Raw genomic sequence first — 26674 nt, 5'->3', positions numbered from 1 at the left:
AGACTAAAATGCATCTTACTTCAAGATAGGCAGTTTCTGTTTTGGTTTCCACCTCTCATACATTGCTTTTAAAGTGCCAACCTCTAATGGCTATCCCATGAGAAAATCTACTGTAAGTATGAAGTGACCCTTTGGTACTACCAGTTTTTCATCCTAAATCCCTTTTCTTTCTTCTTTCTTTTCCTTTCTCTCTTTCTTTCTTTTTTCTTTCTTTCTTCCTTTCTTTTTCTTTTTTCTTTCTTCTTTTATTTCTCTCTCTCTCTGTCTTGCTCCCCCTTTCTTTCTTTCTTCATTTCTTTCTTTCTTTCTCTCTGTCTTTCTCCTTTCTTTCTTTCTCTTTCTTTCTTTCTTTCCTTCCTTCCTTCCTTCCTTCCTTCTTTCTCAGACTCTCACTCTGTCACCCACGCACAATCTCGGCTCACTGCAACCTCTGCCTCCCAGGTTCAAGTGATTCTCCTGCTTCAGCCTGCTGAGTAGCTGGGGTTACAGGCACATGCCACCACACCCGGTTACTTTTTGTAGTTTTAATAGAGACTGGGTTTCACCTTGTTGGTCAGGCTGGTCTCAAACTCCTGACCTCATGATCTGCCCACCTTGGCCTCCCAAAGTGCTGGGATTACAGGTGTGAGCCACCACGCCCAGCCTCTTTCTTTTTTTGACTGTGTCTCTTGCTCTGTCACTCAGGCTGGAGTGCAGTAGCACAATCTCGGCTCACGGCAACCTCTGCCTCCTGGGCTCAAGTGATTCTCCAGCCTCAGCCCCCCGAGTAGTTGGGTCTACAGATGCATGCCATCACATCCACCTAATTTTTGTATTTTTAGTAGAGACAGGGTTTCACCATGTTGGCCAGGCTAGTCTTGAATTCCTGAGCTCAAAGTGATCCGCCCACCTCGGCCTCCCAAAGTGCTGGGATTACAGGCGTGAGCCACTGCGCCCGGCCCCATTTTATTTTCTTTCTTCTTTTTCTTGGCATTTGTTATGATCAAGCCTTTTTTTTAAGTACTGAATATCCATGGACTCCTTCCAGTTTTACCTCATCAAAATGTGCTTGCAGGGAAGGATTTGGTCTTGTTGATTTCAATTAATGTAACTCCAAGCCACCACTCTTCTGCTATTCACCTTTTAATCTATATTTCTTACTATACATAAGAAGCTTTGCTTCTCTACTTATTTCAAGGAGTGTAGGGTGAAGATGAGGTTTTTAAATCACGGTATCTTTCTTCAGTCCTTTCCTCCAAATTCTACACGTAGATGTACTGTGCTTCAGCCAACTTATCTCTAACTAGGACATTCAGATCTACTAACTAAGCTATGACTTATTATAGGCAGGCGGTCAGCAGGAAGAGCTGTTTTTTTTTGAAAGTAGGACAAGAATAGGTCTATGGAATGTTGGGGTCACTTGGTTTCCTCAATGGAAAGAAACGGGATGTTTCTGCATTAACTAGAACACTTGAAAGGTAGGGAGGGGTGAGGGTGATTGAGAAATGATTTCAACAAACAGAACATTAAGTACTCTGTTTGTCAGACAGCGTGTTCCCATCTGGGGGGTGAGTGGCAGAAAACATAGTCGCCATCATGAGAAGAGCTCCCCTAAATCTGCCCACCCACCTCCAACTCTTGCTCCAGTCAGTTTTTCTGAATGCCCAGCCTGCTACACTGACCCTCACCGCTCTTACCCCGGTGCCAGGGTGAGAGAGGCCAGGGATCAGGTAAGGAAAGAGGAGAGGAAATGCAGAGGCTCCATTTGGCTTATAAAGGAACTGTACCATAATAGTTATTATTGTTTAAAAAAATAGCATGACATCCATTCTATTTCTCTCCCTCTTCTTCAAAGATATTTCAGCCTCAGGGACTTTCTGCTTGTTAGTGGGATGGCGAAAAATGCATGATAGATTTCTAGTTAGTAGGTAGAAGGGACGGGAGATTACATCCTAATACAGTAGAGTAACTATGTTTTATTGAGCACTTAATATGTACTGAGTGAACACACCTGCTTTGATTCACAACCACTTAATGAGGGAACTTTGGAGCCTCCTTAAGGGTTACAAGCAAAAGCTGTGGAGTCAGCTTGCCTGGGTTCAAATCCTAGTTGTGCCATGTACCTGCTGTGTGGCCTTGGTATAGTTACTTAACCTCTCCATGAATCAGCTTCCTCACCTTAAAATGGAGATAATTATAATGTCACACACCTTTGGGGGGAATTCCCAAGGCCACCCCCAGGTTCAATGACTCATTAGGAGGACCCACAGGATTCATCATAGAGACATGCCCACAGCTAAGTTCTATTACCTCAAAGACAAATCAGAATCAGCAAAGGGGAAAGCAACAGAAGAAACCAGACATGAGCTACCAAGAGTCCTCTCCTAGGGGAGTCACACAGGACATACTTAACTCCTCCAGCAACGAGTTATGACAGGTATGAAATGTTGTCTACTAGGGAAGCTCAGTAGATACTTAGTGCCAGAGTTTTGATTTGGAGCTGGTCACTTAGACACCCTCTGTCTGGCATGTACACAAATTCCAGACTCCCAGAAGGAAAGCAGGTGTTCAGCATAAACCATGTTGTTTGCACACACAGTTAAGTCACAGTGAGCCACTCATATCACGGACCAGCAGGAACCCCTCACATGTTCCCAGATGCCAGCCAAGGGCCAGCCTTGCAAGCAGGATTGAGACAGCAGTCTCAGACCTGCTATGTGAACTCTTTACTGCTTGCTACCTTTTGATTGTTGTGAGATTACATAAGGTAATATATATATCTGTTGCTTACAACAGTGCCTAATTTGTGGGAAGCCCTACAGATTTTTTTAGCCCTTACTATTATGCAGAAAAAAAAATACTCAGGTTTAGAATGACTACACAGTCAAAATGGAACAAACTGGAATCTGAATTCACATATCCCCAAAAAAGGTTCATGCATCTATTCACATCACCCTAACATGAGCAAAGTAGCATCCTTCTTCAAACCGTAACTGGGGATGTTGTTGGTGGGTCCCTCCCTTTTCAGGTTCAGAGAAGATGGAGCCTTTCATTCCAGTTGTGTTCTGAAGACAGAGCTTCTTGGAGCTATAAGCACCATTAGGTTGCTTCTTTCTCAGGTTAAACCACTCAGAGTGCATTTATGGTCTGGTACTTAATGCCCCACATGAGCATATTTCAGACTTCCCCCCCATTCCATGAGGCTTGCTTTGTTGATGTCCTTCATTTTTCAGGATACGTATCCACAAATCCATAAGAATTTTCTTCCATAAGATCTAGATAGTGAATCATCTCGCCGTAATTGAAATCATCCCATTGTAAACCATTTTTAGGCTTAAAAAAAATCTGACAAAGAAATTTCTCCCACCTACTTCTCCCAATGCAAAGTAGTTAATCAATCTCTTTAATCATGGGATTACCTCTATCTTATCTTTCACCAGGTTTTCTGGTCTTTGGTTATGTCAGTGGGCAGGGCAGCAGAGTGTCCAATAGCTAGCTGTGAATGCTAAGCAACTGTAGTAGATGCCAAATCAGTTGCACCACCAAAGTCTATGCATTGAAATGAAGTCATTGACTGCAACCAATTTAGATATCTTTTAGTATTTTTTTTTTCAAAGACGGATTTCAAAATGGGAACAGGGCTAGAAGAATCCTTTCAATTTTAAGTTAAAAATTATGCATCATCAATGCAGATTGCCATATGGTTGTAGAGTAAGATGAAACAGAGTCTTAGAGCAATAGTTTATTTCAGCATTAGCATTGTTAGTTGTTAGACATCTGTCCCTTCCAATAAATGAAGATTTTGTAAACTTCTTAGTCATTTCTGTCCCCATAGATCCAAGAATAGAATTCACACATGGTGACTGTTTATTAAAGGTCTGCTCCATTAACACTCAAATGCTAATGCACTTCCACTTAATAAAAGAGCTTCATCTTTGGGTCTGGCAGCTCATGACATATCCCAAGTGAGTAGGTGACTATTTCCTGGATGACTATAGTCAACGCAGTGCCAGATTTTGACACCTACACAAATATCTCCCTTTGGTGAGAAAAGCAAGCAAGAGTTATAGTGAAAGAATAGTGTGACTGCAGTTAATACCATAATTTGAAGAACAAATAATGGCATCTATAAAAAAATAAGATGTGAAGCTCATAGAATATAAGAATCAAAGTGCTCATGGTAGCCCTGGTTGCTACTAGCTGAGTCTACACATGCTAATAAATGGCAGAAGACATGAAAAGGCAAAGCAAGAGGCAGAACACACAGAAGAGAGAGAAAGAGAGGGATGAAAATGGAATTATGTCAGTGTACTCATAAGTTTGGACTGCTAGAACCGAGTACTATAGACTAGGCGGCTTGTAAACATCATATGTTTATTTCTTACAGTTCTGGAGACTAACATTCTGAAATAGGGTGCCTGTTGAGGCCCTCCTCTGGGTTGCAGATTGCTGCCTTCTCATTGTATTCTCACATGGCAGCAAAAGAGGTAGAGAGCTCTCTGGGATCTCTTTCATAACGGCACTACATCCATTCAGGAGGATTCACCCTCATGATGTAATCACCTCTCAAAGCCCTCCCCTCCTATCACCATCACATTGCGGGTTGGGACTTCAACATATAAATTTGGGGGTGATACAAGCATTCAGTTCATTGCAAGCAGCACAGCACAATTCATGAAGACTTTTTTCTTCTATGCAATCTCCCAAATATTCCTTGAATATCTGTACCTCTGCCTTTGCTCAGACTAATTTCTTCTTTTTCTCCATATGCCAGGCTCAGCTCACATACCACCTACTTCTTGAACACCCCAGCCCATCTCAGCCCCCAATGCTTTCTCCCTCCTACAAACTCCTAGAGCTTCCATTGTGATGCTGAATGTTGTTCTTTAGGGTCGCAATTAGATTGTATAGGTGTTCTTCTTGTACTCCTAAGTTTCTTAAATAAAAATGACATGGTTTTTGTTCTCTCATCAGCTATAAGCATTTCCTAACCATCTGCTGTGAATAGGGATGATATAGTTTAGGTTTTTGTCCCCACCCAAAAATCTCATGTTGAATTGTAATCTCCAGTGCTGAAGGTGGGGCCTGGTAGGAGGTGTTTGGATCATGGTGGTGCATCCCTCATGGCTTGGTGCTGTATTTGTGATAGTGAGGTCTTGTGAGATCTGGTTGTGTAAAAGTGTATGGTACCTCCCCCCTGCCCCTTGACACTCTGTCTGTCTCTCTTGCTCCTGCTTTCACCATGTGACGTACCTGCTCCTACTCTACCTTCCGCCATGATTGTAAGCCTCCTGAGACCTCCCCAGAAGCAGAAGCCTCTGAGCTTTCTGTAAAGCCTGCAGAACCGTGAGCCAATTTAACCCAGTCTCGGGCATTTCCTTATAGCAGTGCAAGAATGCCCTAATACAGAAGATAAAGAGGATATGATCTAGAGTTTGGCTGGACTTTAACCAGAGCCCCCATCCCTACAACTCTGACCCCCTGACACTGCTGTCTGAGCACACAGCTGTCCTTTAGCACCTTTAGCCTTGTTTTCTTATTTCCAGAACAAGCTGCATATTTCTGGAGACCATTCCTCCACTATTTCACTTTTTGAATAAAGCTTAAGTGCACCAAAAGTAAATGGCAATAAGAAAAATGTACCATACATGCCTCACACACATGTACGCTCACAGTCATACACACAAACAAGCTGATACATTAGTTTTACTTTGGCTCACCTCTAGAATCTGGGTGGACAGTCTGCTCTATGCCTTTTCTGTTCTTTCTCTTCCATTGTCCGCAGAATATGAGGACCAAAGTGCTCATTGTTGTTTCTTGAATTCTGCATGTAGGCAAGGAGTGGTAGCCTTCCCTGATGTATTAGTCAGTTCTCACACTGCTATAAAGAAATACCTGAGACTGGGTAATTTATAAAGAAAAGAGGTTTAATTGGCCCACGGTTCTGCAGGCTATACAGGAAGCATGATGCTGGCAGCTGCTCAGCTTCTGGGGAGGCCTCAGGAAACTTTCAATCATAGCAGAAGGTGAAAGGGGAGAAAGCTCATCTTCCATGACTGGAGCAGGAGGAAGAGAGAGAGCAGGGAGGTGCTCTCTCACCAACCAGATCTCATGAGAACTCACTCACTATCAGGAGAACAGCAACCAGGGAAAAATCTGCCCCCATGATACAATCACCTCCCACCAGGCCCCACCTGCAACATTGGGAATTACATTTTGACATGAGATTTGGGTGGGGACACAGAGGAAACCATGTCACCTGGCTAAGTGGTGACCACACAGTTCTCACCTGTGTGTGGGTTATTCACTTTCTGCTCTTCCCTAAGACTCTCCTTAAATTCCTGGCAGACTCTTGCTCATGCTCTCCTTTGGGAGTTCTTCTTCTGCTCTACAATGCTTTCTGCATTTGAACCCTTTCCTCATATGTCACACCCTCTTCACCCTAATGGGGGTTTATTTTGCTTGATCACTCTTTAATCCATCTGTACTTTCCCTTTTGAGTGGCACCCAAGACTGAGCCTCGTTCCAATAGCAGTGCCCTGGAACCACAGATTTGGGAGCTGAATAGGACTGTCATCTCTTTGCTGTGTCACACACTAGTGATGGAAGCCTGCAGAATTCTCCCACAGATGGACAGTTTAGTTATGAATCCCACACCAACTTCTGCTCATCAAACATCCTCCTTTCATGATATAGGCAGAAATTTCAGAAGATTATTTGATAATGCCTTGTTTTATTTTTTTGACACAACTGTCAACCACGCCACTTCAAGATGTGGTTTGTCCCTCATGGCATGAAACAGGTCTCAAACGACTTGCTATCTGGCAACAAAATGGTACACCAACACATTAAACTCCTTCAACAGGAGAACATCTTCATGACAAAGACAGTGGTTCGCAGGTTGGACACCAATCTTATAGGATGGGTTTCCTTGGAGTTCAGGGTTAACAACATGTGGCAACTTGTTTGGGATATTATGAAAGAGAAAAGTATTCTATTCTGCCTTAACCATGGCGGAAGCAGCCCTTGAGGAGCTGCTGTCATGACTTCCAGTCATCCTTCTAAAGGAAGATGTCTAGAAGAATGTGGGGCAAAAGTGAAGTTTGTACAGAGAATGAGAGGAACTTACAGATAACTTTGAACTGGCATATCTGTAGTTATCTCTATTAATGTGAATTTACAAAAAGTTAACTAGTGAAATAGGGACAGATAGGCATTTGTTCTCTGAAGCCATTTGGGTATGTCTTCATAATCCCAGGACATTGGGCAGAGGCTTCCTCTATCCTCTTACTCAGAGAAATCCAAATATGGCAAATGATCCCTGTAGCTTCCTGGGCAAAGGCCCATTTGCTTCTGATTCTTTCAAGGGTAAACAGGAAGGCTTTATAGAAAGCTTCAGCTTGTTTCTCCAAGAGTTTCCTAACACAGAGATAAATACATACCTTCCCCTGACATCTCTCCACCCTGCCCACGTGAAACCCTTGCTGGCTCTCTGTCTCTGTAACCCCTCTAGCCTTTCCTTTCTGGGGGACTTGCCAGCTTGCTACTCCACCTGGAGAACAGAACAGGATGGAGTAGAACAGGAATTTTCAATTCTCTCCTTTATATACAGAAGCTCTCTCAAGTCTCTCTAAGCTTTTCAGACTTAACGTGTCTCCTACAAAATATTTGTTCCTGACTCACCACTAAGAAGATGAACTTTAAGAATTGCACAGTTTGCCTCTCCCCCATGATAATATGCATAGCTAAGCCACAGCAAGGCTACCTTTCTCATTCTTGCTGCCTGCCGATGGTGTGATCTTAGCCCCTCTCTCAGTATTTGAATTTCCTCGGTCTTTATGAATGGTAAGAGTTGTTTAAGTCTCTCCTTGCAACACTCCGCCACCCACCATTCATCCCATAATCTTTCACATGGAAGACTGCATGTATTTTGTAAAACCAGGGGGAAAAGTCCTGATTCTAAATCAAGAGGCAATTATTAAGAGTGGCACGCAGGTCATTTTTCTTCCTTCCTCCAACCACCCTGTCAACCACCACCCGCCATGTTCACAAAAGCCTCCAAGGCTACCTACAAGAAAATACCCAGCTTTCCTCTAGGGTGACTTGACTCTTCAAACTGCTTCTCAGTGGAAAACTTTTTAAACGCTCCGTTTTATTTATTCTCTAACAGTTTTCCTGTTAACTAGGTTTGGAGGTGTTTTCTGAAACATGAATGCCATTAATCCAACACCAAAAAGATTCCAGAACTTTCCAGGGCACACATGGCCAAGCCTTCCAGACCAGTTTGCACTGGAGGAGCGTTCTGCACTGGCAGGCGTTTCTGCAGCTTCTGACATCAGGGAAAAGGTGTTATTCCTACAGTGCTGCTGACGTTATGTAACAGCAGAGCCATTGCTTTTTTTTTTTTTTTTTTTTTTTTTTTGACGGAGTCTTGCTCTGTCGCCAGGCTGGGAGTGCAGTGGCGTGATCTCAGCTCACTGCAACCTCCGCCTTCCGGATTCAAGCGATTCCCCTGCCTCAGCCTCCCGAGTAGCTGGGACTACAGGCATGCAGCACGCACGCCCGGCTAATTTTTTGTATTTTAGTAGAGACGGGGTTTCACCATGTTGGCCAGGATGATCTCGATCTCCTGACCTCGTGATCCGCCCGCCTTGGCCTCCCAAAGTGCTGAGATTACAGGCGTGAGCCACCATGCGGCCCCATAGCTTCTTTAGTTGAATGGCTGCCTCTGGAGGCGGGACCCACAGGGACTGCCTGGGTGGAAGAAAGGCAGGGAAGGCTGCTTTCACTCATCACCGCAGACTCACTGCCATTCAGCTAGGCCGATCTTGTAGAACTGACGTAGAAAAGATTACTTCTCCATAAGTATAGGTTCTGGTCAGAACCAAACTCTCTTTCCAAGGACTGCTTCCTGCCTGTTTGTGCACACATCTTGTTTTCTTAGGGTCATTGGGACTGAATACTAATTAATCGAGGTCTGCATGATCAGCACCGAAGCAAGCGCCTGAAAAGAGAGTGAATCTTTTTTAAAAGTTACTTTATTATTTGTATTTATTTTCTGGGTGTTGTTTCTGATTCCAAGTAGTTACATAAAAGTTGCAAAGCCAGTTAAACACCCTCTGAATGTTCCTGCAGAACTTGGACTGGGCGCTCCCTATTTAGAGGTTAATAATGGTCAGTGGCTTTCTCTTCCTTTCTAACTTTATTTGGGGTGTGCCTAGCCTTGAGATCTGGGTTGTGGCCATGAATAGGTCTCTGTAGTCCAAGAAACATTTCTCAGACTACGGAAGATGTGTGGAAAGACAGTGCCAAGCTGCCTGCCGCTGTGGCAGCACCAACGGAGAAGAAAAACAAGCCAAAGGATGCGGGTGTGATCAGGGCCTGCGCAGGGGTTGGAGTGGTCATTTGGGGCTTCCAGAGGGATAATGACAAGTTTATCCACAGGAGTAAAGGGTTAGAGCAGCCAGAAGACGCTTGTGTAATGTCCCAGCAAATCAATTTAAAGACTTAAATATGACAACATGCTAAAGAAAGCCTGGAAGGAATTGGTGGGTGAAAAGGAAATCTGCCGGCCTTCAAAAGTGAAAAACGAAGCAAAATGGAGCTCCAAAAAATGGTGGCTCAACGAGACCCCAGTGGGCTTGGCTAGAGGCTCCGGAACAGAAGGCCTCAGTCACCTCATTGTATTCAGCACAGTCTCTAAAGCTGAGAGCAGGAAATCCTGTTGCCCCACCCATGTCCTCAGCTGAGGTCCCATGAGACAATATTCCTTAGATACCAGCAGAAACTTTTCTTACATGCGAAGGGGTGTAATTCACAATATTCTTTAGAAAGATGGTTGAAAGGTCACGTCATTCAGGCCATAAAACATTTATCCACACATTTATTCATCAATAATTTACTGAGTGCTATACCAGGGGGAGGGGAAAGGGTGGGGGGGGTGGGTTATGATGATGCCAACGATTAAAGAGACCAGTCAAGACACTCAAGTGAGCCTGTGGTCTAAAATGATGCTACTGAAGGTGGCAGATGCCCACCTGGGAGTATCTTAGGAATGCAAATTCCAGCCCCGCCCAGCCTTACTGAAACAGAAACCCTGGGGGTGGTGCCCAGCCATCTGTGTTTTAACAAGCTTTCCTGATGCACGGAAAATTTAAGATGTATGGGAACATGGTGTCTCAAACAATGATGTGTCCTGGCCATTTGCGAGATGTGTGGAAAGTAATATATTATTAATGATAGTTAGCATACCGACATTTGTGAATAATTTATATGTATGTCACCTGCAAAGATTTTGTAAAAATACAGATCCCTGGCTCCACCCAATTCCAACGGAGTAGAAATATCCAGGTGTGGCAGGCAGTATTTAGTTTTAAGACTTCCCAGGTGACTCTTAGGATCCGTCAGGTGTGGGAACCAGTGGTCTATAAGAGCCATTTGCCCCATAACAAAGAGAAAAAATCATGGAATTCTAGAGGGTGGTCCCTCGGAGAGCAGGTTTCCCCACTCCCCTAACAAATGTTAGGCAGATCTCAATTGAAACACATACAAGAGAAACTCCAACTGCAGCAGAAATGGAGTGGAGGTTGCTTCATACTTTCCTTTCTGCAGTGGCTGTTGCAGCTCTTAGTAAAAATCTAGAGCTCTCGGCCGGGCATGGTGGCTCACGCCTGCAATCCCAGGACTTTGGGAGGCCAAGGTGGGCAGATCACGAGGTCAGGAGATCGAGACCATCCTGGCTAACACGGTGAAACCCCGTCTCTACTAAAAAATACAAAAAATTAGCCGGGCGTGGTGGCGGGTGCCTGTAGTCCCAGCTACTGGGGAGGCTGAGGCAGGAGAATGGTGTGAACACAGGAGGCGGAGCTTGCAGTGAGCGGAGATCGCGCCACTGCCCTCCAGCCTGGGCGACAGAGCGAGACTCTGTCTCAAAAAAATAATTAAAAAAAAAAACCTAAAGCTCTCAAAAATATGGTTTGAAAAGCATGGATGTTTCTATCACCACCTCCTCCTCCTGCCACATACGCCCCATTCATTGATGAAGAAACCAAGGCTCAGAAAAGTAAAATGACCTGAAAACATGTGACTGACCATTCAGGTCTGCCCAAGACTAAAGGCATCCCAGAAATTAGAGCGTTCAGTTTTAAAACAGGGACAGTCCCAGACCAACCAGGATGAATTCGTCACCCTAGGTCGGAGACTTCACGACACCCACAGTTCTTGCGTTTTGGCTGATTTATTATTGTTGTTGTTGTTGCTATTATACCATATTACTGCAAGAAGAATTCAAATTACTATTGGTTTTTAATTTTTTTTTAAATTTTTCTAGCCCCTTGAGAAGTTCTTACTAAATTACTATGGTTTCCTTTTAAAAACCATATTTGTTTTTATTCCCTCATTCCAGAAGGATTTAAGGGAGTAATACCCTTATTTTATGTGTTTTGAAATACTTGTAAGTATTCTAAAATACTCTGGACTATTCCTGTGTCCATGTCTCCTCTATCTGACTTCAGACCCACCATACCATATGCATTTTCTCTTTGGCTTCCATATATTTGTGTGATGTTTGCTATGGCACCTACTGTGCCCTACTGAGATCTGTGTATTAGTCAGAACTCTTTAGCTTGCCAGTAAAAGAAAACAAAAGGATGGAGTATGTCAGCTTGGGTAGCAGAAAAGAGCTTCAGGCACAAGTGGATACAGGGGCTCCACCTCATCAGGACATGGTCCCTCTTTGAACCCATAGCAAGATGGTCACATGCAGCTCCACACACCCGCATCCTCCCAGCAACCCAGCTGACGGCATCTTGTCCCCAGTAGCTTTTGTAAAAGTCCCTAGGATGAACTCTGTTTGGGCTGACTTGTGCTATGACCCTTCCCTAAACCAGTTGCAGCCCCCAGGACAATGGAATACTCTGATTGTCCAGACTGTGGCCATGCACCCACCCCTGGCACCAGGGTCTAAGAAGAGAGAAATGCAAGTCTCCCAAAAGAAAGTCAAAAGATGGTTCCTAGAAGCAGAGGAGGAACAGATGCTGGGTAGGTGAAAACAGCAAATGTCCATGGTAGTCTTAAACAGTTCAAGAGGGCTGACCAACTGATTGGCTGATGCACGGGCAACAGCATGCAGCTCCATGTCTTCCTCTATCCCCACTCTGCTGAGATCTAGGTACTATTTTCCCCTGAAACACTAGGTTGCAAGACTCCAAGGTCACCATTGTCAGTTCTAATTTTGAAGACACGCACCACATTTAGCTGAAGCTAGCAGCAGCCCCAGAACCCATGGGACTCCATCCGAAAAATGATAAGCCCTTTGCTGGGCTCCCAAATATGGAGCTCCTGAGAGTGAGGAGCTGGTGACTCATGTTCTCTGTGCTTTGGTTGCCCCCACGTTTTCCAGCTGGGTTGGTGACGTGGGACTCAGTACTTTCTTCAATGCGTCCTGTACACAAAGAATAAATAGCCCCAGAGCTCTTTCTTTTTCTTCCTGCCTTTCTTCCTGTAATTCATTCTCAGCCCAACTCAGCTTTGTTCAAACCACAGTATTTCACATTGCCTGGCAAGTTCTGACACAGCTGCTTGCTTTATTCTTTCAGTCTTCTGTTAAGCCAGAGGTAAAGTTATACCTTGTGGCTAATTTTTAGTCTGTAAACCTTATCCCTTGTTCAAGCCGAAATCTTAGATTAATCAGCATGAAAATGCCAGCTCCCCCAAGACCGTTGAATTATGGCCCCCATCACTCTTCCTGCCCTGACATTCATTTGAGTCCCTTTCAACTTTTACAAGTTGTTTTCTCTTATCCATGAGCAAGGTGGTGGCTTGGGCCTTTTTAGGCAATTTTCTTTTCTTCTTAATCACCTGCCCCTATTCCATCCAATCTATTTCAATTTCTATATAATCATGTAATACATCTCTAATTTGAGTCACCAGGTTTTCCACGTTAAAGGTGGGCTTTAGGAATGTTTATTTTACAAACTAATAGAACTTCCAGTCCTATGGACTCTAACTAGTAGTGGGGCCACTGTGTCAGCTTCCCAGAGCTGCTGTTACAAAGTACCATAAACTGGGTGGCTTCAGATGACAGAAATAGATTTTCTTACAGTTCTGGAGGCCAGCAGTCTGAAATCAAGGTGCTGGCAGGGCCACGCTCTTTCTGAACCTTCAAGGGGAGGATCCTTCCTTGCCTCTTTCAGCTTCCAGCAGCCCCGGGCATTCCTGGGCTTGTGGCAGCATCTCTCACACCTGTGCCTCCATCTTCACAGGGCCGCCTTCTCCCTCTGCGTCTCTTTCACACAGAGTTCTCTTCCCCTTTTACAAAAACAGCAGTCATATTGTATCAGGGCTCACCTTCATGACCTCATCTTAACTTGATGAAATCTGCAAAGATCTTATTTCCAAATAAAGTCACATTCGCAGGTGCAAGGAGATAGGACTCCCACATACCCTTTCATGGGGAAGGAAGACACAATTCAACCCCTAGCAGCCAGGAAAGAGAAAAACAGGGACAGAAAAATAACTCTTTGATCTTGGTCAACCAAAAAGGGGATCCTGATGTTCTCAGAGGATGTTCACCCAGAAAGAGCCTGGGACCCCGACAGGAACATCTGGAGATGGAGGCGAAAGCCTAGCAGCAAAGGTGATCGCTCAAGAGGGCAGGAGAATCCACTGGAGGGCAAAAGCCAAGGACACATTTGTGCTTGAAGAGCCTACTGTGTGCCACATGTGCTTTTATCCCATTGAATCCTCAAATAACTCTGCCAAAGAGTTGCTATTATTCTTTTTTAATACATGGAGAAACTGAGGCTCTGATTAAATAATGAGACCCAGATTATAAGTAGAAAAGCGAGATCATGATTGCTATTACCGCTGTCACTTCTGTTTTTAATAGGCATTGGATCTCTTGTGCTACTATACACCAAGGATGTTACCTGTATTAACTGAGATCTTCACAGCTCACAAAGCTAGATATTGATGGCCTTATAGAGATGAAGAAACAGAAGCTCAAAGAGTTTCAATCACTTGCCTGAAGTCACACAAGTATTACATAATTCAGCCAAAATTTAAACTCTGGTCTTTCTGACTGGCAGGACCATTCCTTACCATGATGCCATGTTGCTGGTGGACATTAGGGTATCTAAACTAGGGTAGTCCTAGCTTCAGAGAAAGAAGCTGTATAAAGAAACCAAATGATTATGCTTGAGGCTTAACCAAAGCAATATAAAAAGTGTATGTTCTCAGGGGAATGGGCAAAACAGAAGAGAAAAAGGCCGGCCACCGAGCGGCTGTGGGTGAATGAGTTAACCAAAGAGCAAATGTCTGAGTTGGATCATGAAACAGCAGATCAAGTGGGCTCAGTGTCTGTAAACATCTACACTGCCCATGAGGACAAGATCTGTATGCTCCATCTACACCCAGAGGCTGAAGGAATGCCTGTGGTGTAGACAACTCACTTTTCTAGAGAAATGGAGAAGGGATTAGACATGTTAACCCTGAAGAAAAGGAAACTTGGGGTAGGGTAGGCTCAGAAAGTCTTCAGAGGTTGGGAACGTGGCCCATGAAAGAGCAGGGAGACTGGAAAGGGACCCTGCCTGTGGAGGCAGCTCTGGGCCCCACTTGAACACACACGGGTGAACCACTTGACCCACCTTACAGTGAAAGAAGCTGGCACCTGTGGACCACTGGAGAAACCTCAGTAGCCATCTGGTGTTCCCCAATGACTGTGTTGCTCACAACCCTCAAGAGTCCTTTGTTGCTTTTGGAATTGTAGGGCTGGCAAGATGTCTTCACCCACTGCTAGATTCATGGCTGAGGCCCCTATAATGAAGGACAGATGAACAAGAGAAGAACATACAAACGCATAGAATATAAGTTTTACATGACACAGAAGCCTTTGAGGGGAAATGAAGAACCAGAGAAACAGGGAAACCTGTGTATTTGCTATGCTCGATTGGATGAAGAGTGGACAGTCATGGAGAGGCATGACCGAGCAAAGCGGGTGATAACCTGGAGGGAATGTCACCACATCTGTTGGCTCAGATTCTCCTCTGTGTCCTTGTGTCTTCAGAAAAAGGATGTTCCTTTCCTCTGAGTATGCGGGCATCACTCACACCAGGGTCCAATGTCCTACTTCAGGGGAAAGTCAGGAAATCCTTCCTGGGACTGATGACCGGCCTCAGAGAGAAGGGTAGAACAAGGGAAGGTGAGAGTGGCCTTTCTGCTTTTGCTGTTTTCTCAAATGCCAATTTTCTATTTTCAGGGGCAATATGTCCTGAACCCCATCAGGATGAAGCCCCAGCTCCATGAAGCCCCTCTTGAACTGGTCCATCCTACTGTTCCAGTCTCAGCTCCCTCTGCTCCAGGCCTTGAACTTCACATTCCAGCCTGGGGACTCCTGGCAGTTCCCTAAATATGCAAAGAGCTCAGCTTTCTTTCCTGGTCCTGGTCCTGGTCACTTGGCCCTCTCTGTCTCTCCCTTCCTTCTTCCCATCTCTCTTCCTTTCTGGCTCATGTCCCTCGCACATGCTGTAAACTCTTCCTGGAACATCTCCCTTCCACCTGTGAATCTCTTGCCAGCTCACTTCTTTTCTCCCTTTAAGAATCCACTTCTCAAAAGAAAATGGCAACTCTGTGAGGTGATAGAAATGCTGATTCGCTTGATCATTGTGGCGTCCACAATGTATATATAAAACAAGTTGTACACATTACCATGTATAAATTTGTGTTTGTCGATTATATGTCAAGAAAGACAAGGAGGTGTGGAAAGACTGCACCTCTGTCAAGACGCCTTTCTGACCACCCCCCGACCCTGGTTGACACTCCCTGACATGAGCCCCCGAGTGTTTACCTACGCTATGTGTATCAGGGCATCCCGACCACTTGCTCACTCACCTGTCTCCCCACTGTGAGGTCAGCGGCAGGGCCTTGTTCAGTGTCTTAGTCATATCCCCTCCAGCACCCACCATGACCTCTGGCACTAAGTAGGGGCTCAATAAGCCAATCATTGTGTTGATGTACCAGTGACATTGAGGGAAGACCAAGCTCGCCGACCTCTAAGATCCTGTCCACTCTGAGAGTCTGTGAGTCTGTATTTCTGCTCCCACAGTTAGTCACGGAGGAAGTTGCCAAAGCAGATGATGAGACTTCTGTTTGGGGTTGCCCAGGTCTGCCTGGCCTTTGCAATTTGTAATCAGGTCCTTTGAAAGAGAAACTGAACTGAGAGAAAAACACAGTTTGGATGAGGCAAGAGTTGCAAAATAATGAGTTATGTAATGGTGATGGTGGCCTGTGGTAGCATCTTTGGCCCTGCCCAGATGATACAAGACTTTGTATGTATACCCTTGAGCATGGCCAAAAGGACAATTGTCAAAACCACGGCTTAAGTGTTCAAAAGCCTCTTTTCCCATAAGATGTTGCCTCTTGAGGTCAGACTGAAATCCTGTACCTGTAATAATTTCCTCCTTAGGACTGGATGTACATGAAAAGATTGGAGATATATATGTACCTTTTTTATATGCCATGTAAATGGTATAACCCTTGCACTCTTTGGCCATTAACAGCCAATTGTCAATTAGTTTATTGTGTATTAGATCAAACTGTATTGCCCAGGCCAGCTCCTGAAGAACTGTGAACTATGAACATCTCAGCCTAGAAGGATAATGTGACCTTCAATTTGCACACCATCCATTGTCTCTTTCAAACTAAGAGCCTCTCTAAGCTAGATAGGCCAAGGATTATTTTTTTAACTTTTATTTTAGGTTCAGGGGTACATATACAGGTTTGTTACATAGGTAACCTCATGTCATGAGGGATTTTGTATAGATTATTTGGTGACCCAGGTACTAAACCTAGTACCCATTAGTTGTTTTTTCTGCTCCTCTCCCTCCTCTCACCCTCCACCCTCAGTTAGTTCCCAGTGTGTGTTGTTTCCCCACATCTATCCATGTGTTCTTATTATTTAGCTCCCACTTATAAGTAAGAACATGCAGTGTTTGGTTTTCTGTTCCCGATTAGTATGCTGAGGATAATGGCTTCCAATTCCATCCATGTTTCTGCAAAGAACATGCTCTCATTCTTTAATATGGCTGCATAGCGTTCCATGGTGTGTATGTACCACATTTTCTTTATCCAGTCTATCATTGATGGCCATTGTGGTTGATTCCATGTCTTGGCTATTGTGAATAGTGCTACAATAAACATAACATGTGCATGTGTCTTTATGATGGAATGATTTCTATTTCTTTGGGTATATACCCAGTAATGGAATTGCTGGGTCAAAGGGTATGTCTGTCTTTAGGCCTTTGAGAAATCACCACGCTGCTTTCCACAATGGTTGAACTAATTTACACTCCCACCAATGGTATATAAGCATTCCCTTTTCTCCACAATCTTGCAAGCATCTGTTATTTTTTTATTTTTTGTTAATAGCCATTCTGACTGGTGTGAGATAGTATCTCATTGTAGTTTTGATGTGCCTTTCTCTAATGATTAGTGGCATTAAGCTTTTTTCATATGCTTGTTGGTCACATGTATGTCTTCTTTTGAAAAGTGTCTTTTTATGTCCTTTGCCAAATTTTTAATGGCGTTGTTTTTTCTTGTAAATTTGTTAAAGTTTCTTATGGGTTCTGGATATTAGACAGATGTAAGATGCATAGTTTGCAAATATTTTCTCCCATTCTGTAGGTCGTCTGTTCCCTATGGTGATAGTTTCTTTTGCTGTGCAGAAGCTCATTAGTTTAATTAGATCCCATTTGTCAATTTTTGCTTTTGTTGAGATTGCTTTTGGCATCTTTGTCATGAAATCTTTGCCAGTTCCTAAGCCCAGAATGGTATTGCCTAGGTTGTCTTTCAGGGTTTTTATAGTTTTGGGTTTTACATTTAACTCTTCAGTCCATCTTGAGTTGATTTTTGTATATAGTATAAGGAAGGGATCCAGTTTCAATCTTCTGTAAATGCCTAGCCAGTTATTCCAGCACCATTATTGAACAGGACTCCTTTCCCTGTTGCTTGTTTTTGTCAACTTTATCAAAGATCAGATGATTGTAGGTGCACAGCTTTATTTCTGAGCTCTCTATTCTGTTCCATTGGCCTGCGTGTCTGTTTTTGTACCATGCTGTTTTGGTTACTGTAGCCCTGTAGTATAGTTTGAAGTTGGGTAGTGTGTTACCTCCCGCTTTGTTCTTTTAACTTAGGATTGCTTTGGCAATTCAGACTCTTTTTTTGGTTCCATACTAATTTTTAAATAGTTTTTTCTAATTCTGTGAAGAATGTCATTGGTAGTTTGATAGGAATAGCATTGAATCTGTAAATTGCTTTGGGCAGTATGTCCATTTTAATGATGTTGATTCTTTCTATCTATGAGTATGGAATATTTTTCTATTTGTTTGTGTCATCTCTGATTTCTTTGAGCAGTGTTTTGTAGTTCTCATTGCAGAGATCTTTCACCTCCGTGGTTAGCTGTTTCCTAGGTATTTTATTCTCTTTGTAGCAGTTGTTAATGGGATTGTGTTCTGCTCTCAGCTTGACTGTTGTTGGTGTATAGGAATGCTCGTAATTTTTGTACATCAATTTTGTATCCTGAAACTTTGATGAAGTTGCTTATCAGCTCAAGGAGTGTTTGGGCAGAGACTATGGGGTTTTCTAGCTATAGGATCATGTCATCTGCAAACAGAGATAGACTTCCTCTCTTCCTATTTGGATGCCCTTTATTTCTTCTCTTGCCTGATTGCCCTGGCCAGAGCTTCCAATACTATGTTGCATAGGAGTGGTGAGAGAGGGCATCCTTGTCTTGCTCCAGTTTTCAAGGGGAATGCTTCCAGCTTTTGCCCATTCAGTGATGTGCTGGCTGTGAGTTTGTCACAGATGGCTCTTATTATTTTGAGGTATGTTTCTTCAGTACCTAGTTTGTTGAGAGTTTTTAACATGAAGGGATGTTGAATTTTATTGAAAGCTTTTTCTTCATCTATTGAGATGATCACGTGGGTCTTGTCTTTAGTTCTATTTGACCCATCACATTTATTGATTTGCACATGTTGAACAAGCCTTGAGTCCCAGGGATAAAGCCTACTTGATTGTGGTTGATTAGCTTTTTGATGGCTGCTGGAAAGGTTTGCTAGTATTTTGCTGAGGGCTTATGCATCAATGTTCATCAAGGATATTGGCCTGAAGTGGTTATTTTTGTTTGTTTGTTTTGTTTTGTTTTTCTTGTTGTGTCTCTGCCAGGTTTTGGTATCAGGATGATGCAGGCTTCATAGAATGAGTTGGGAAGGAGTCCCTCCTCCTCAATTTTTGGGAACAGTTTCAGTACCAGCTCTTCTTTGTACATCTGGTAGAATTTGGTTGTGAATCCATCTGGTCCTTGGCTTTTTTTGGTTTGTAGGAGGCTGGGGATTTTTATCCCAGATTTATAAATAAAGAAATTGAGTCTCAGAGAGAAGTGACTTGCCCAAAGTTGCAGCTCATGAAAATAAAAAGAAGTGGCCAGACATCCGATCTTTGTACCCCAGTGCTCCTCTCCACTTTGTACCCCAGTGCTCCTCTCCACCCTGCACCTCTTGGGCTTGCTCTTCTGGTGGAAACACAAGGACCTGAGGTGAAGCTGGAGAGTGGAGGGGATGGTGGAGAGGGCTGAGGAGAGCAGGCTGGTGAGTTGTGCTTTGGGGCCTCTTAGCCCATGGAGATACATGAAGGATGAGGGGAAGGGGTTGGAGCATAGAAATGGAGTTTGGGGAGCAGGTAACAGGAGAAGCTGGCTGACCTTTCACAACACAAATTTCAGGCCAGTCCTGACTAAGATGCTCTGGGCTGAAGCCAACTGAGCATGAGCTCCCACAGAGAAAAGAGGTTTGCACATCCTCTCCACATGGGTGCCCATGAGCCAGCCCCCTACTAAGCACAAATTCAGGGTTGCTGCCCTAAGCAGCTACTGGCTGAGTGATCAAAGCAAGTCAAGAGCCTTGAAAAGTTGAAAGTGGCTGCTCAACCAGCAGTCAGTCCAGATCCTATCTATAACTCCAGTCCTCCCCAGCCCCCTCCTTCCCCGATGAGAGTCCAGACCAGCCTCAAACAGAAACTATGGAGATGAATCAAAGACAGAGCCAAGACATCTTTGCCTGGGAATTCTAGTGTATCCATCATAATTGGGTTTATTTTACCCAGTAAAGAGAGGGCTTTCCACTCACCTCGGGGGGGGGGGCCTCCGAGCCTTCTTATAACAGTACAACGAAAGTGAACCACAGACATTTGTTCCCTTAATTAACAGCGTTGCTCTTTTGGGTGGGTCTTGAACTGTTAGCACTGGTCTCCCACATTCTTTAGTCAGTTAAGGGCTGCCACCATCATGACATGGAATAGTAGGACTGGGAGAATGTACTGAATCAGTACCTAGTGCAGAACAAAACCCTTCCATGGAACATAAAAGGTACAAATATTACATTCACAGCCATGTTTGTTCATTCAAAGAGCATCTTCTGAAGACTTTCTGTGTGCCAGACACTGTCCCCAGTGCTGGAGAAAATAGACAAGATCCCTGTTATCATGGAGCTTATATGCTAATGGTGGAGACACAAAAAAGCCAAATAAATAAATAAACACGCTAGACCATGTCAGAGAGTGGCAAGTGCCATGAAGAACCTGAAAATGAGACATGGTGTTGTAGGAGATGCCTTAGATAGGGAGGTCCTGGGGGCAGAGTACCTGGAGGTCTGAGATCAGAGCTTTTACGCAAACAGAGCAGGTGCAGAAGTTGTGTTCGAGGAACAACCAGGAGGCCAGTTGGCCTGCAAGGCATGAGCCAGGGAATGGTGGTACAAGATAAACTTGGAAATTGTTTATGCTCTGTCTCTCACACTGACTTGGCCTTCGATCTCAGCTAAAATGCTGCTTTACTTCCTACTGTATTGGTGTTTGCAACCAATGCATGATGTGTCATGTACTTTCTACTCAGAGAAAAGTCCTCTACCAGTGTTGATGAGGGTGAAAAGATCATTCCTACTCCAGGAAGTCTCTTTGGAAACTTGGTGGCGGAAGACAGGAGAGCTAAGAGCAGTTCCCATCTTGTATGATCTAAGGTTCCCCTGGAAGTGAAGCCACGATCCCCTGTAGCTATCACAGCATAGGGATGTGCGGAGATCCTGGCTCCACATATAGTTGGCAGGAGGTGAGTCTCCTTTAAGGTGTTCAAATGTAGCACACACACACACACACTCTCTCTCTCTCACCTGCTGTCTTGCTCGATGCTCCATCTCTTCTATTGCTGTCCTGAGAACCAAGACAGCTCCATGTACAAGTAACTCAAAACCCTGACACTCCCTCACACTGCCCAAAACAAGACACTGTCAAAATAAGTCACAGATGTCACAGTTCCTTGTCACTCAGTTTTCTTGGCTTAGATTTAAAGCATTAAATCAGCTCATCTTCATCTCTCATTCCCTAGCCCCAGCTCTTCCCTGCTGAGTTATCTTTGATATTCCCTTGGGTGGATTTCTTCTCCCTCCTTCTTCTCTAAGAATCTGTAAGTTTATTTTCTCTCTTACTCTCACTCCCCTTCTCATCCTGCCTCACCCCGGTCCCTCTTTCTAAGCCCTCTTCTCCACCGCCCTATTCTAGACAAGATCTTACAAAAATACCTTTCTTCCATAATATCTTCTCTACTTCCACAAGAATTCCCCCAGATTCCTTTCCTTTTTGTTGAAAGGGCTGACTCCTGGCATTTATAATTTTAACCAGCAGAAGGGCTTGAAATGAGAAGTATGAGTACTTCGACTCTTTTCCACACCTGTTCCCAATCTCCACTTTTTTTTGAATACTGACTCTGTAATGGGTGGAGAGTAGGGGAAAAGAAAGAGAGATGGGAAAACAAGAAATGAAAGGGATTTTTAGTAATAAAAGCAAATGAGGAGATAAGGTAACTGTGTTCTGAACATCAGGGCTGGAGAGGCTGATGCTCATGATGGACACAGGAGGAGAGGCGCAGTGCTGGCTAACAACCTGGACACAGCACCAAGCAGATTGTAGTCACATGCTAAAGCATGTGCTATGCCATCTAGGTGCAGTAGAGATCAGCCATAGGCTGGAGTTTGCCCCGAAGGAGGTGGCATTGAGGTCACACACTGCAGAGTCATCCACATGACTTTGTAGATTGGAATCTTATTTTATCAACTGCTTACCTGAAATAAACATGCCCCACCTGAAACTTAAATGCAGCTTGATCTTTTCTTTGGAAGAGTGTGATGCTTACGACAGGAATGTGTTGCCATGGGATGCTGCTGATATTTTGTCCACACTCCTATCTTAGCCTTTCGCCACTTTGAAGGTGCCCTCTTTCTCCAGGATAAACATCTTCAACAACGGGGACTTTCCAACAGAGTGGACCAGGTGAATTTTTTTAACTCTCTGGAATTTGATGTTATGTGAGATTTCTAACTGTGGAATTGCGCTCACATTCATGTTAGAATATTATGTCTATCACATATTCTTATCAGCACATTTTTGTAGCCAGAGATGTATGCAACCCAAGTGTCATGAGCCCACTACACCTAAGAGTTTAGACTTACTAATTCACTGAAAACTTAAAAGAGGCCAGGATGTAGTAGATTGCTTGGTGATAGATAGCAGCCTACTCACCCTGTCTCTTGAGAAATAACTTCACTTCTCTCCCCCTTATCCTAATTCTCTAAAACAGTCCTATCTTCCAATGGATAAAGTACAGACAGATATCTGGTTACCTTTATTGTAAACATCTATAGTTCACCCAAGAGCCTAGATGAAGCACCTCACATAGCATGCCAACTGCTGGCCCGTGTATTTAGTCTATGTTTAATACCCTTTTACTTAGGTTTCTTGCCCTGTAAATTGGAATTAGACTAAAATCTGGTGTCTTGAGTTTCACAGCATATTGAGTTTCACAGTATGATTTTAGCCTGTCTACTCATCTTATATCTGATAGCAGTAAAGAAGGTAAATTCATTCATTCATATATTCCTTTATTCATTCATTCATGTAAATTTATTGAGCATGCATTTTGTGCTAGGCACTGTTCTTGGTATGGTCCACAGCTCTGAACATAACAGGCAAAAGTTCTTGCCCAAATGGAAGTTACATTCTAGGAGGTAATATAAAGCAAGACAAAAATATCCAGTGTGTTAGACAGAGATATGTGCTAGGGAGTAGTGGAGTAGTGGGGTGCAGTTTTAAATAGGGTACTCAGGGAAAGCCTCATTGAGAAGGTACTTTTTTTTTTTTTTGAGACAGAGCCACCTTCTGTTGCCCAGGCTAGAGTGCAGTGGCGCCATCTCCACTCACTGCAACCTCTGCCTCCCAGATTCAAGCAATTCTCCTGCCTCAGCCTCCTGAGTAGCTGGGATTACAGGCGCATGACACCACACCCAGCTAATTTTTTGTACTTTTAGTAGAAACGGGGTTTCACCATGTTAGTCAGGCTGGTCTCGAACTCCTGACCTCATGATCCACCCGCCTCAGCCTCCCAAAGTGCTGGGATTACAGACGTGAGCCACGGCACTGGGCCGAAGTTACCTTTTTTAAGGTTTTTTTTTTCAGCCAATGTTACCATGGTGTAATTTATCTTCTGTAAAATTCCCACATTTTAAGTGTACAGATGAGTGGCTTTTGACTAATGTATACATCCACTACCCTAATCAAGCTACAGAAAATTTCCATTTCCTTGAAACGTCCCTCTTTCTTTTTCATATTTAGTCTCCTACTCCCACTCAAGCTACCACAGATACTATTTACATCATTATAGGTTAGTTTTTCCTGTCCTAGAATTTAATATGCAACTATGCATGTTAAGTCTTTTGAATGTGGCTTCCTTTGGTTAGTTGAAGCCATGTTACTGCATTTATCAGTCATTATTTTTTTATTACTGAGTCTATTGTATGAATGTTTTATAATTTGTTTACTCAGTTACTTATTGTTTCTATTACTCTTCATTCTTTGTGTGGTTTCTTCCTGGTACTATTCTCTTTATACTGAAGAACATCCTTTAGCATTGCCTGTAGTTCAGATCTGCTTGTGATGAATCTTCTCAGATTTTGCTTATCTGAAAATGTCTTCATTTCACCTTCAATTTTGAAGACTATTTTTATTCAATTTATATAGAATTCTGTGTGAATAGGATTTTTACATCTCCAAAGATGTTGTTTCATTGTCTTCTAGCCTCTACTGTTTCTGATGAGCACTAGTAATAATTCTTAACTTTGTTCCTCTGTATGTGTCTTTTTCTTTGGCTGCTTTTAACATTCTACTTTATCTTCAGTGTTCAGTCATTTGACTGATGTACTTAGGTGGGGCTTCCTTTATCTTCATCTTACTTGGGCTTCGTGGATTTTTAAGTCATTTTTTAAAATTTTGGGAAGCTCTTGGCCACTATTTCTTCAGATATTTTTTCTGCTCTCTCTCTCTCTCTCCTCCTTCTGGGACACCAAATAGACGTAAGTTAGACTGTCTGATATTGTTCCATAGGTCTTTGACCCTTTGTTCATTTTTTCCTTAATATTTTTTATTTCTGTTCTTCAGATTTGATATTTTCTACTGCTGTGTCTCCAACTTCACTTTTTCTTCTATCATCTCCAACCTGCTGGCAAGCTCTTCCGATGAATGATTCACTTCAGGCATTGCACAATTCTAGAATTTCCATTTGTTTCTTTTTAGGGTTCCCATTTATCTACTAAAAATTCCTCATTTACTCACAACTTAGGGCCATTTGTCTCTAATTAATTAATATATTTTTTGAATATATATTGTAAAACATATATGTTTTAATGTCTTTATTTTCTAAATCCAACATTTGGTCCATCTTAGAATAGTTCCTTTGCTTTCATTTTTTACTATGGATTACACTACCCTTGTATGGTTTTTGTTGGTTTTTATGTCTAGTGATTTATCATTGAATACTGGGCATTGTGAATGTTACATTGTAGAAGCTCTAGCTCAGCACTCTTCAATAGTACCTGCAATGAAGAAAGTGTTCTGTGTCTGCACCATCCAATAGGACAGCTGCTGGCCACATGTGGCTATTGAACACTTCAATGTGACTAGTGTGACTGAGGAACTCAATTTTAATTTTAATCTAAATGTTCGCATATTTACACCCAGAACTTCTCAACCTCTGTTATACTGTTTCAGTCTCAACCTCATAGCAGCTGACATCTGGCAAGCCTCTGATGGTTTTCCCTGCACATATACAGTCAAGCCCTCAGCCGTGGACTGAGGGAGGGGCTTCCCATACGCATGCAAGGACTTCTAGGGCTTTGTCTTTGCACAGATTCCAGCTATTTCAGTTGCCTCAGATTCTGATCCCTGCCTCTTCAGCCCAGCAAGAGTCCTGTGCTCTGCTCAAACTCAAGTCTCCAGGCAGACAGCTGGACTACTGTGGGGCTCACCTCACACTCCCCTCTCCCCATTTTTGCAGTCTGGTGTTGTTTATTTTCCATTGTCTGAAAACTATCTTGCTTCACATACCTTGTCCTGTTTTCTAATTGTTTACAGGAGACGAAATAGTCTGAAACTAGTCATTCCATCACAGTCAGTAGCCTGAGAAGTGTCCCTTCAGGTCATAATCCAAAGAAGATTGTGGGATAACTAACTAGGGGAAGAGAGTTTCAAACAGGGGGACGTCAATGGAAAGGGTGGGAGGCAGAAGCATGCCTGCCTGACTTAGAACGGTAGGGAGGCAACATGGCTGAGCACGAGAGCTAAGGACAGAGAGAGTAGGACAGTAGGTCAGAGAGGCATGGTGGTGGGAAAGACACTGTTTGGCTTCATAGGCCATTATCTGCACTCTAGCTTTTACTCTAGTGAGATGAAAAGTCATTGGAAAGTTTGGGGCCAAGAACTGATTTAGGTTTTAACAGAATCACACTAGCTCTTGGAAACACCTCCAGGACAAAAGCAGGGTGCTGAATTAGAAGGCCATTGAGAGAATCTATTGACTAAACTTGCAAATCTAATTAAAATTCTGAATTATTCAAGGTCGATGGCTGAGTTTTTATTCATTTCCTAGAGTTTGGGGCTCACGAGGAGACAGGTACCTTAGTGTGGAAGATCACATCATCTGAAGTCTGATTGGCTGTGTGACTTTAGGCAAGTGACTTCAACTGTCTTTCTTTATTTCTATACAATGGAAATAATAAGAATACCTATTACATAAAAGATATTATGACGATTAAATGAGATAATTCCTGTCAAATTCTCTAAATTATACCTGGTGCATATAATTCCTGTCAAATTCTCTAAATTATACCTGGTGCATATGAAGTAAGCGTTCTACAAATGTTAACTATTACTATCTGAGAGGCTGAATGTCTGATGATTATTACTGTACCCTGTGGACATTGACATTGATCTACTCTGTGAATAAAGGGTACCACACTCAATTCTGATTCTCAAGAGATATGTGCAACTGGCATAGAAAAAATATCTCAAAAACAAGACTGAAGGAAATTAGAGCCAAGTAGAGGTCCATGCTGTCAGCTCTTGCATAAGGAGGGAAGGCTGAGGCGTTATTCATTCAGGCTGAGGAGATCTTTGAAGACTATTGAGAGGCAATGAGTTAGGGTTTGAAGAATGGATTAGATACAGAGACTGTGGAAAGGGAAGGGAATTCTGAAGGTCACCTGAACTTGCGGCCATCACTAATGTTTAAAGAGCTTCTTAAATTCAAAGTGAAAAATTATGAGTT

At 43.2% G+C, this 26674-nt stretch overlaps 1 protein-coding gene across 2 annotated transcripts in view, besides 2 other annotated features; it reads left to right on the top strand.

The window, feature by feature from the left end:
- The window catches only part of NEDD9 (neural precursor cell expressed, developmentally down-regulated 9), a 199051-nt gene that overhangs the window by 15701 nt on the left and 156676 nt on the right, over window positions 1-26674 (top strand). The window lies entirely within an intron of this gene.
- Window positions 1238-1532: a silencer, noted in NCBI's record as "tiled region #10259; K562 Repressive non-DNase unmatched - State 24:Quies". NCBI's record gives its function as "represses a minimal TATA promoter and a strong SV40 promoter by Sharpr-MPRA in K562 cells {active_cell/tissue: K562}" and the evidence as "EXISTENCE:reporter gene assay evidence [ECO:0000049][PMID:27701403]".
- Window positions 21492-22691: an enhancer, noted in NCBI's record as "P300/CBP strongly-dependent group 1 enhancer chr6:11344190-11345389 (GRCh37/hg19 assembly coordinates)". NCBI's record gives its function as "activates an origin of replication core promoter dependent on BRD2, BRD4, P300/CBP, MED14 and CDK7 cofactors, with strong dependence on P300/CBP, by STARR-seq in HCT116 cells {active_cell/tissue: HCT116}" and the evidence as "EXISTENCE:reporter gene assay evidence [ECO:0000049][PMID:35650434]".

This window comes from Homo sapiens, chromosome 6 (genome assembly GCF_000001405.40).
Source record: "Homo sapiens chromosome 6, GRCh38.p14 Primary Assembly".
Classification (NCBI taxonomy): domain Eukaryota; kingdom Metazoa; phylum Chordata; class Mammalia; order Primates; family Hominidae; genus Homo; species Homo sapiens.
The sequence above is the reverse complement of the archived record's forward strand: the minus strand, read 5'-3'. Positions and strand labels throughout refer to the sequence as shown.